Source organism: Homo sapiens, chromosome 7 (genome assembly GCF_000001405.40).
Source record: "Homo sapiens chromosome 7, GRCh38.p14 Primary Assembly".
NCBI classification, from domain to species: Eukaryota; Metazoa; Chordata; class Mammalia; order Primates; family Hominidae; genus Homo; species Homo sapiens.
In genome coordinates, this window is record NC_000007.14 from 61,300,996 (window position 1) to 61,313,285 (window position 12,290).

At 37.0% G+C, this 12,290-nt stretch overlaps 1 annotated feature.

Moving 5' to 3' along the window:
- Positions 1,441–1,942: an enhancer, noted in NCBI's record as "OCT4 hESC enhancer chr7:61285161-61285662 (GRCh37/hg19 assembly coordinates)". NCBI's record gives its function as "activates a minimal SCP1, AML or CMV promoter by ChIP-STARR-seq in primed H9 embryonic stem cells {active_cell/tissue: H9 hESC(primed)}" and the evidence as "EXISTENCE:reporter gene assay evidence [ECO:0000049][PMID:30033119]".

Here is a 12,290-nt window from a genome sequence, read left to right on the forward strand (position 1 = left end):
CTTTTTCTAAACTGCTCAATGAAAAGAAATGTCCAACACTGTGAGATGAATGCACATAACACTAAGAAGTTTCTGAGAATGCTACTGTCTAGTTTTTATGTGAAGATATTTGTTTTTCACCATAGGCCTCAAAGCATTCAAATATCCATATGCATATATCACAAAAAGACTGTTTCCAAACTGCTCAATCAAGAGAAACGTTCAACCCTGTGAGATGAATGCACACATCACAAAGCAGTTTCTCAGAATGCTTCTGTCTAGTTTTTATCTGAAGTTATTTTCTTTTTCACTGTAGGCCTCAATGATCTCCAAATATCCATTTGCAGATACTACAAAAAGACTGTTTCCAAACTACTCAATCAAAAGAAATGTTCAACTCTGTGAGATAAATGCACACATCACAAAGGAGTATCTCAGAATGCTTCTGTCTAGTTTTTATGTGATGGTATTTCCTTTTTCACTATAGGCCTCAAAGTGCTCCAAATTTCCATTTACATATTCTACAAAAAGACTTTTTCTAACCTGCTCAATCAACAGAAAGTTTCAACTCTGTGGACTGAAAGCACACATCACAAAGAAATTTCTCAGAATGCGTCTGTCTAGCTTTTCTCTGAGGATATTTCCTATGTCCCCAGAGGCCACAAGGGACTGACAAATATCCCTTTGCAGCTTCTATAAAAAAGACTGTTTCCAAACTGCGCAATAAAAAGCAAGTTTCAACTCTGTGAGATGAATGCACTCATCACAAAGTAGTTTCTCAGAATGCTTCTGTCTAGTTTTTATGCAAAGATATTTCCTTTTCCACCGTAGGCCTCAAAGCACTCCGAATATCCATTTCCAGATACTACAAAAAGACTTTTTCAAAACAACTCAATCAAAAGAAATGTTCAACTCTGTGAGATGAATGCACACATGACAAAGAAGTTTCTCAGAATGCTTCTGCCTTGTTTTTATGAGATTTTTCCTTTTTCACCATGGGACTCAAAGCACTCCAAATATGCATTTTTCAGATTCTACAAAAAGACTGTTTCTGAACTGCTCAATCAAAAGAAAGTTTCAACTCTGTGGGATGAAAACTCACATCACAAAGTAGCGTCTTAAATTGTTCATGTCGAGCTTTTATGTGAAGATATTTCTGATTTCCCCAAATGCCTCAATGGGCTCACAAATTTCCCTTTTCAAATTCTACAAATCAACTATTTCCAAACTATTCAATCAAAAGAAATATTCAACTCTGTGAGATGAATGCAAACATCACAAAGAAGTTTCTCAGAATGCTTCAGTCCAGATATTATGTGAAGATATTTCCTTTTCAAAAATAGGCCTCAAATCACTCCACATATCCACTTGCAGATACTATAAAAAGACTGTTTCAAAACCGCTCAATCAAAAGAAAGGTTCATCTCTATGAGATAAATGCACAAAACACTAAGAAGTTTCTCAGAAAGTTTCTGTCTAGTTTTTATGTGAAGATATTTCCTATTTCCCCATAGGCCTCAATTGGCTCAAAAATTTCCCTTTGCAGATTCTACAAAAAGAGCGTTTCCAAACTGCTTAATCAAAAGAAAGGTTCAACTCTGTGAGATGAATGCACACATGACAAAGTAGTTTCCCAGAATGCTTCTGTGTAGTTTTCATGTGAAGATATTTCCTTTTCCACCATAGGCCTCAAATCGCTCTAAATATCCACTTGCAGATTCTACAAAAAGAGTGTTTCAAAACTGCTCAATCAAAAGAAAGGTTCAACTCTGTGAGATGAATTCACACATCACAAGGGAGTTTCTCAGAATGCTTCTGTCTAGTTTTTATGTGGAGATATTTTCTTTTCTACCATAGGACTAAAGGAGTCCAAATCTCCACTTGCAGATCCTACAAAAAGATTATTTCAAAATTGCTCATTCAAAAGAGAGGTTCAACTCTTTAAGATGAATGTACACATCACAAAGAAGTTTCTCAGAATGGTTCCGTCTACTTTTTCTGTGAAGGTGTTTCCTTTTCCACCATACACCTCAAATTGCTCTAAATATCCATTTTCAGATTTTCAGATTCTACAAAAAGACTGTCTCCAAACTGCTCAATCAAAAGAAAGTTTCACCTCTGCAAGAGGAAAGCACACACCACAAAGAAGCTCCTCAGAATGGTTTGTCCAGTTTTTATTTGAAGATATTTTCTATTTCCCCGGAGACCTCAAAGGGCTCACAAATTATCCATTTGCAGATTCTAGAAAAAGATGGTTTCCAAACTCCTCAATCAAAAGATAGTTTCAACTCTGTGAGATGAATGCACACATCACAAAGTAGTTTCTCAGAATGCTTCTGTCTAGTTTTTATGTGAAGATATTTCCTTTTCCACCATAGGACACAAAGCACTCCAAATATCCATTTGCAGATTCTACAAAAGACTCTTTCCAAACTGCTCAATCAAAAGAAAATTTCAACCCTGTGGAAAGAAAGCACACATCACAAATATTTTCTCAGAATGCTTCTGTCTAGTTTTTATTTGAAGATATTTCCTGTTTCCCCAGAGGCCTCAAAGGGCTCACAAATTATCCCTTTGCAGAATCTACAAAAAAGATGGTTTCCAAACTCCTCAATCAAAAGACAGTTTCAACTCTGTGAGATGAATGCACACATCACAAAGTAGTTTCTCAGAATGCTTCTGTCTAGTTTTTATGTGATATTTCCTTTTCCACCATAGGCCTCAGAACACTCCAAATATTCATTTCCAGATAGTCCAAAAAGACTGTTTGAAAACTGCTCAATCAAAAGAAAGGTTCAACTCTGTGAGATGAATGCACACATCACAAAGAAGTTTCTCAGAATGCTTCTGTCTAGTTTTTATGTGAAGGTATTTCCTTTTCCACCATAGGCCTCAAAGCACTACAAATATCTACTTGCAGATTGCACAGAAAGAGGGTTTCAAAGCTACTCGCTCGAAAGACAGGCTCAACTGTGATATGAATGCCCACATCACAAAGAAGTTTCTCAGAATGCTTCTGTCTAGTTATCATGTGAAGATATTTCCTTTTTCACCATAGTCCTCAAATCCTTCCAATTATCCATTTGCAGATTCTCCAAAAAGAGTTTTTCCAAACTGCTCAATCAAAAGTAAGGTTCAACTCTGTGAGTTCAATGCACACATCACAAAGTAGTTTCTCAGAATGCTTCCGACTAATTTTTATATGAAGATATTTCCGTTTCCACCAGAGGCCTCAAAGTGCTTCAAATATCCAATTTCAGATTCTACAAAAAGAGTATTTCAAGACTGCTGAATCAAAAGAAAGTTTCAACTCTTTGAGATGAATGCACACATCACAGAGAAGTTTCTCAGAATGCTTCTGTCTAGTTTTTAGGCGAAGATATTTCCTTTTTTACCATAGACCTCAAAGCGCTCCAAATATCCACTTCCAGATACTACAAAAAGACTGCTTCCAAACTGCTCAATCAAAAGAAAAGTTCAACTCTGTGAGATGAAAGAAGACATCACAGAGGAGTTTCTCAGTGTGCTTAAGTCAAGTTTTAAGTGACGATATTTTGTTTTTCACCATAGGCCTCAAAGTGCTCCAAACAACCATTTGCAGATTCCGTAAAAAGACTGTTTCCAAAATGCTCAATCAAAAGAAAGTTTCAACTCTGTGTGATGAAAGCACACGTCACAAAGAAGTTTCTCAGAAATATTCTGTCTAATTTTTCTGTGAAGACATTTCTTATTTCCCATAGGCCTCAATGGGCTCACAAATCTCCCTCTGCAGATTGTATAAAACGACTGTTTCAAAACTGCTCCATCAAAAGTAAGGTTCAACTCTGTGACATGAATGCACACATCACAAAGAAGTTTCTCAGAATGCTTCTGTCTGGGTTTTAGGTGAAGATATTTCCTTTTCCATGATAGGCCTAAAAGCACTCCAAATATCTACTTGCAGATTCTACAAAAAGACTGTTTCCAAACTGCTCAGTCATAAGAAAGTTTCAACTCTGTGAGATGAAAGCACTCATCACAAAGAGGTTTCTCAGAAAGTTACTGTCTAGTTTTTATGTGAAGATATTTCTTATTTCCCCATAGGTCTCAATGGGCTCACAAATATCCCTTTGCAGATTCTATGAAAAGACTACCTCCAAACTGCTGAATCAAAAGAAAGTTCAGGTTTGTGATATGAATGCACACGATCCAAATAAGTTTCTCAGAAAACTTCTGGTTAGTGTTTTTGTGAAGCTATTTGCTTTTACATCATAGACCTCAAAGCACTCCAAATATCCATTTGAAGATTCTAAAAAAAGAACCTTTCCAAACTTCTCAAGCAAAAGAAAGGTTCATTTCTGTGAGATGAATGCCCTCATCACAAAGAAGTTTCGCAGAATTATTCTGTATGGTTTTTATGTGAAGATATTGCCTTTTGCACCCCTGGCCTTAAACCTGTCCCAAATATACCAATGTAAATATTACAAACAGACTGCTTCTAAGCTGCTCCATCAAAAGAAAGGTGCAACTCTTTGAGATGAATGCACACATCACAAAGATGTTCCTCAGAATGCTTCTGTCTAGTTTTTATATGAAGATATTTCCTTTTCCATCATAGGCCTCAAAGTGCTCCAAATATCCACATGCAGATTCTATTAAAGAGTATTTTGAAACTGCTCAATCAAAAGAAAGGTTCAACTCTGTGAGATGAATGCACACATCACAAAGAAGTTTCTCAGAATGCTTCTGTCTAGTTTTTATGTGAGGATATTTCCTTTTTCGCCATAGGCCTCAAAGCACTACAAATATCCACTTGCAGATTCTACAAAAAGACTGTTTCCAAAATGCTCAATCAAAGAAAGTTTCAGCTCTCTGAGATGAAAGCACAAATCACAAAGAAGTTTCTCACAAATTTTCTGTCTAATTTTTATGTGAATATATTTCCTATTTCCCCATAGGCCTCAATGGGCTTACAAATATCCCATTGCAGATTCTACAGATCGACTGTTTCCGTACTGCTCAATCAGAAGAAACTTTCAACTCTGTGATGTGAATGCACCCATCATAAAGAAGTTTCTCAGAATGTTTCTGTCTAGTATATATGTGAATATATTTCCTTTTCCACTTTAGGCCACAAAGTGCTCAAAATATACACATGCAAATTCTACAAAAAGAGGTTTCCAAAACTGCTCAATGAAAAGAAAAGTTCAACTCTGTGGGATGAATGCTCACATCACAAAGAAGTTTTTCAGAATGCTTCTGTCTAGTTTTTATGTGAAGATATTTCCTTTTCCACCACAGGTCTCAAACCACTCCAAATATCCACCTGCAGATTCTAAGAAAAAGAATGTTTCAAAACTGTTCAATCTAAAGAAATGTTCACCTCTGTGAGATGAATGCACATATCACAAAGAAGTTTCTCAGAATGTTTCTGTCTAGTTTTTATGTGAACATATTTCCATGTCAGCCATGTGTCTCAAAACACTCCAAATATCCACTTGTAGATACTACAAAAAGACTGTTTCAAAACTGCTCAAACAAAAGGTTCAACTCTGTGACATGAATGCACACATCACAAAGAAGTTTCTCTGAATGCTTCTGTCTAGTTTTTATGTGAAGATACTTCCTTTTTCAACTTAGGCCTCAAAGCGCTCCAAATATCCATTTGTAGATTGTACAAAAAGGCTCTTTCCAAACCACTCAATCAAAAGAAAGTTTCAACTCAGTGAGATGAAAGCACACATCACAAAGAAGTTTCTCAGAAACTTCCTGTCCAGTTTTTATGTGAAGATATTTCATATTTCCACATAGGCCGCAATGGGATCACAAGTATCCCTTGGCAGATTCTACGAAAAGACTGTTTCCAAACTGCTCAATCAAAAGAAATTTCAGGTTTGTGAGATGAATGAACACAATCCAAATATGTTTCTCAGAAGGCTTCTGTTTAGTGTTTATGTGAAAATATTTCCTTTTTCACCGTTGGCCTCAAAGCACTCCAAATATCCATTTGCAGATTCTACAAAAAGAGTGTTTCCAAGCTGCTCAATCAAAAGAAATGTTCAACTTTGTGAGATGAATGCCCACATCACAAAGAAGTCTTTCAGAACGATTCTGTCCTGTTTTTATATGAAGATATTGCCTTTTTCATCCCTAGCCTTAATCCTGTCACAAATATCCCTCTGCAGATACTACAAAAAGACTGCTTCCAAACTGCTCCATCAAAGGAAATTTCACCTGTGTGAGATGAAAACATACATCACAAAGTAGTCTCTCAGAATGCTTTTGTTTAGTTTCTATGTGAAGATATTTCCTTTTTCACCCCAGGCCTCAAACTGGTCACAAATATCCCTCTGCATATACCACAAAAAGAGTGTTTCCAAACTGCTCTATCAAAAGAAAAGTTCAACTCTGTGAGATGAATGCACACATCACAAATAAGTTTGTCATAATGCTTCTCTCTAGTTTTTATGTGAATATATTTCCTATTTCACCATTGGACTCAAATCGCTGCAAATATCCATTTGCAGATTCTTCAAAAACAAAGCTTCCCACCTGCTCAATCAAAAGAAATGTTCAACTCTGTGAGATGAATGCACACATCAGAAAGAAGTTTCTCAGAATGCTTCTGTCTTGTTTTTATTTAAATATATTTCCTATTATACCGTAGGACAAAAAGGGCTCACAAATATCCCCATGCAGATTCTATGAAAAGTCTCTTTCCAAACTGCTCAATCAAAAGAAAGATTCGAATCTGTGAGATGAATGCACACATCACAAAGAAGTTTCTCAGAATCCTTCTGTCTAGTTTTTATGTGAAGATATTTCCTTTTTCACTATAGGTCTCAAAGCGATCCAAATATAAATTTGCAGACTCTACAAGAAGATTATTTCCAAACTGTTCAGTCAAAAGAGAGGTTCAACCCTGTGAGATGAAAGCATACATCAATAAGAAGTTTCTCAGAAAGCTTCTGTCTAGTTTTTTTTTTTCTTTTCTTTTTTTTTTTAATGTTTTTTTTTTTATTATACTCTAAGTTTTAGGGTACATGTGCACATTGTGCAGGTTAGTTACATATGTATACATGTGCCATGCTGGTGCGCTGCACCCACTAACGTGTCATCTAACATTAGGTATATCTCCCAGTGCTATCCCTCCCCCCTCCCCCGACCCCACCACAGTCCCCCGAGTGTGATATTCCCCATCCTGTGTCCATGTGATCTCATTGTTCAATTCCCACCTATGAGTGAGAATATGCGGTGTTTGGTTTTTTGTTCTTGCGATAGTTTACTGAGAATGATGGTTTCCAATTTCATCCATGTCCCTACAAAGGACATGAACTCATCATTTTTTATGGCTGTATAGTATTCCATGGTGTATATGTGCCACATTTTCTTAATCCAGTCTATCATTGTTGGACATTTGGGTTGGTTCCAAGTCTTTGCTATTGTGAATAGTGCCACAATAAACATACGTGTGCATGTGTCTTTATAGCAGCATGATTTATAGTCCTTTGGGTATATACCCAGTAATGGGATTGCTGGGTCAAATGGTATTTCTAGTTCTAGATCCCTGAGGAATCGCCACACTGACTTCCACAATGGTTGAACTAGTTTACAGTCCCACCAACAGTGTAAAAGTGTTCCTATTTCTCCACATCCTCTCCAGCACCTGTTGTTTCCTGACTTTTTAATGATTGCCATTCTAACTGGTGTGAGATGATATCTCATAGTGGTTTTGATTTGCATTTCTCTGATGGCCAGTGATGATGAGCATTTCTTCATGTGTTTTTTGGCTGCATAAATGTCTTCTTTTGGGAAGTGTCTGTTCATGTCCTTCGCCCACTTTTTGATGGGGTTGTTTGTTTTTTTCTTGTAAATTTGTCTGAGTTCATTGTAGATTCTGGATATTAGCCCTTTGTCAGATGAGTAGGTTGCGAAAATTTTCTCCCATGTTGTCGGTTGCCTGTTCACTCTGATGGTAGTTTCTTTTGCTGTGCAGAAGCTCTTTAGTTTAATTAGATCCCATTTGTCAATTTTGGCTTTGGTTGCCATTGCTTTTGGTGTTTTGGACATGAAGTCCTTGCCCACGCCTATGTCCTGAATGGTAATGCCTAGGTTTTCTTCTAGGGTTTTTATGGTTTTAGGTCTAACGTTTAAATCTTTAATCCATCTTGAATTGATTTTTGTATAAGGTGTAAGGAAGGGATCCAGTTTCAGCTTTCTACATATGGCTAGCCAGTTTTCCCAGCACCATTTGTTAAATAGGGAATCCTTTCCCCATTGCTTGTTTTTCTCAGGTTTGTCAAAGATCAGGTAGTTGTAGATATGCGGCATTATTTCTGAGGGCTCTGTTCTGTTCCATTGATCTATATCTCTGTTTTGGTACCAGTACCATGCTGTTTTGGTTACTGGAGCCTTGTAGTATAGTTTGAAGTCAGGTAGTGTGATGCCTCCAGCTTTGTTCTTTTGGCTTAGGATTGACTTGGCGATGCGGGCTCTTTTTTGGTTCCATATGAACTTTAAAGTAGTTTTTTCCAATTCTGTGAAGAAAGTCATTGGTAGCTTGATGGGGATGGCATTGAATCTGTAAATTACCTTGGGCAGTATGGCCATTTTCACGATATTGATTCTTCCTACCCATGAGCATGGAATGTTCTTCCATTTGTTTGTGTCCTCTTTTATTTCCTTGAGCAGTGGTTTGTAGTTCTCCTTGAAGAGGTCCTTCACATCCCTTGTAAGTTGGATTCCTAGGTATTTTATTCTCTTTGAAGCAATTGTGAATGGGAGTTCACTCATGATTTGGCTCTCTGTTTGTCTGTTGTTGGTGTATAAGAATGCTTGTGATTTTTGTACATTGATTTTGTATCCTGAGACTTTGCTGAAGTTGCTTATCAGCTTAAGGATATTTTGGGCTGAGATGATGGGGTTTTCTAGATAAACAATCATGTCGTCTGCAAACAGGGACAATTTGACTTCCTCTTTTCCTAATTGAATACCCTTTATTTCCTTCTCCTGCCTGATTGTCCTGGTCAGAACTTCCAACACTATGTTGAATAGGAGCGGTGAGAGAGGGCATCCCTGTCTTGTGCCAGTTTTCAAAGGGAATGCTTCCAGTTTTTGCCCATTCAGTATGATATTGGCTGTGGGTTTGTCATAGATAGCTCTTATTATTTTGAAATACGTCCCATCAATACCTAATTTATTGAGAGTTTTTAGCATGAAGGGTTGTTGAATTTTGTCAAAGGCTTTTTCTGCATCTATTGAGATAATCATGTGGTTTTTGTCTTTGGCTCTGTTTATATGCTGGATTACATTTATTGATTTGCGTATATTGAACCAGCCTTGCATACCAGGGATGAAGCCCACTTGATCATGGTGGATAAGCTTTTTGATGTGCTGCTGGATTCGGTTTGCCAGTATTTTATTGAGGATTTTTGCATCAATGTTCATCAAGGATATTGGTCTAAAATTCTCTTTTTTGGTTGTGTCTCTGCCCGGCTTTGGTATCAGAATGATGCTGGCCTCATAAAATGAGTTAGGGAGGATTCCCTCTTTTTCTATTGATTGGAATAGTTTCAGAAGGAATGGTACCAGTTCCTCCTTGTACCTCTGGTAGAATTCGGCTGTGAATCCATCTGGTCCTGGACTCTTTTTGGTTGGTAAACTATTGATTATTGCCACAATTTCAGAGCCTGTTATTGGTCTATTGAGAGATTCAACTTCTTCCTGGTTTAGTCTTAGGAGAGTGTATGTGTCGAGGAATGTATCCATTTCTTCTAGATTTTCTAGTTTATTTGTGTAGAGGTGTTCGTAGTATTCTCTGATGGTAGTTTGTATTTCTGTGGGATCGGTGGTGATATCCCCTTTATCATTTTTTATTGTGTCTATTTGATTCTTCTCTCTTTTTTTCTTTATTAGTCTTGCTAGCGGTCTATCAATTTTGTTGATCCTTTCAAAAAACCAGCTCCTGGATTCATTGATTTTTTGAAGGGTTTTTTGTGTCTCTATTTCCTTCAGTTCTGCTCTGATTTTAGTTATTTCTTGCCTTCTGCTAGCTTTTGAATGTGTTTGCTCTTGCTTTTCTAGTTCTTTTAATTGTGATGTTAGGGTGTCAATTTTCGATCTTTCCTGCTTTCTCTTGTGGGCATTTAGTGCTATAAATTTCCCTCTACACACTGCTTTGAATGCGTCCCAGAGATTCTGGTATGTGGTGTCTTTGTTCTCGTTGGTTTCAAAGAACATCTTTATTTCTGCCTTCATTTTGTTATGTACCCAGTAGTCATTCAGGAGCAGGTTGTTCAGTTTCCATGTAGTTGAGCGGCTTTGAGTGAGATTCTTAATCCTGAGTTCTAATTTGATTGCACTGTGGTCTGAGAGATAGTTTGTTATAATTTCTGTTCTTTTACATTTGCTGAGGAGAGCTTTACTTCCAACTATGTGGTCAATTCTGTCTAGTTTTTATGTGAAGATATTTCCTATTTCACCATAGGCCATAAAAGGCTCACAAATATCCCACTGCAGTTTCTACGAAAAGACTGTTTCCAAAGTGCTCAATCAAAAGAAAGTTCCAACTCTGAGATGAATGCACACATCACAAATAAGTTTCTTAGAAGTCTTCTGTCTAGTTTATATGTGAGGATATTTCTTTTTCACCATAGGCCTCAAACACCTTGGAAATAGCCCTTCGCAGATTGTACAAAAAGACTCTGTCAAAATGGCTCAATCAAAAGAAAGGTTCAACTGTGTGAGATGAATGCAAGCATCACAACGAAGTTTCTTAGAATGCTTCTGTATAGTTTTTATGTTAGTATATTTCCTTTTTCACCACAGGCCCAAAGCTTTTCAAATATCCATTTGCAGATTCTTCAGAAAGACAGTTTCCAAACTGCTAACTGAAAGAAAGCTTCAACTCTGTGAAATAAATGCAGGCATCACAAAAAAAAGGTTCTCAGAATGCTTGTGTCTAGTTTTTATGTGAAGATATTTCCTTTTTCACCATAGGCCTCAAAGCGCTCCAAATATCCACTTGCAGATTCAACAAAAAGAGTGTTTCAGAAATACTCAATCAAAAGAAAGTGTGAACTCTTTGAGATGAATGCACACATCACAAAGAATTTTTTCAGAACGTTTTTGTCTAGTTATGATGTGAAGATAATATGCATTTGCAGATACTACGAAAAGAGAATTTCCAAACTGCTCAAACAAAAGAAAGTTTCACCCCTGTGAGATGAAATCACTCATCCTAAAGAAATTTCCCAGAATGCTTCCATTTAGTTTGTATGTGAAGATATTTCCTTTTTCACCATAGTCCTCAAAGCACTCCAAATATCCATTTGTAGATTTTACAAAAGGACTGTTTCCAAACTTCTACATCAAAAGAAACGTTCAACTCTTAGATAAATGCACACATCACAAATAATTTTCTCAGAATGCTTCTGTATCCTTTTTATGTGAAGTTATTTCCTTTTCACCATAGACCTGAAACAAGTCACAAATGTCCCTGTGTGGATATGACAAAAAGACTGTTGCCAAACTGCTCCATCAAAAGAAAGGTTCAACTCTGTGAGATGAATGCACACATCACAAAGAAGTTTCTCAGAATGCTTCTGTCTAGTTTTTATGTGAAGATAATTCCTTTTCCAACATATGTCTCAAAGCTCTCCAAATATCTCTTTGCAGATTCTACAAAAGGAGTGTTTCCAACCTGCTCAATCAAAAGAACACTTCAACTCTGTGTGATGAATGCACACATCCAAAGAAGTTTCCCAGAATGCTTCTGTGTAATTTCTATGTTAAGATATTTCCTTTTCCACCCCAGGCCTCAAACCTGTCACAAATATCCCTCTGCAAGTACCACAAAAAGACTCTTTCCAAACTGCCCCACCAAAAGAAAAGTTCAACTCTGGGAGATAAATGCACACATCACAAAGAAGTTTCTCAGAATGCTTCTCTCAAGTTTTATGTGAATATATTTCCTATTTCACCATTGGCTTCAAATTGCTACAAATATCCATTTGCAGATTCTGCAAAAACAGTGCTTCCAACCTCCTCAATCAAAAGAAAGGTTCAACTTTGTGAGATGAATGCACACAACAGAAAGAAGTTTCTCAGAATGCTTCTGTCTAGTTTTGATGTGAACATACTTCCTTCTTACCATAGGCCTTAAACCGGTCACAAATATGCCTCTGCAGATACTACAAAAGACTGTTTCCAAACTGCTGCATCAAAAGGAAGTTTCAACTCTGTGAGATGAATGAACGCATCAAAAAGAAGTTTCTCAGAATGCTTCTGCCTCGTTTTTATGTGAAGATATTTCCTTTTTCACCATAGTCCTC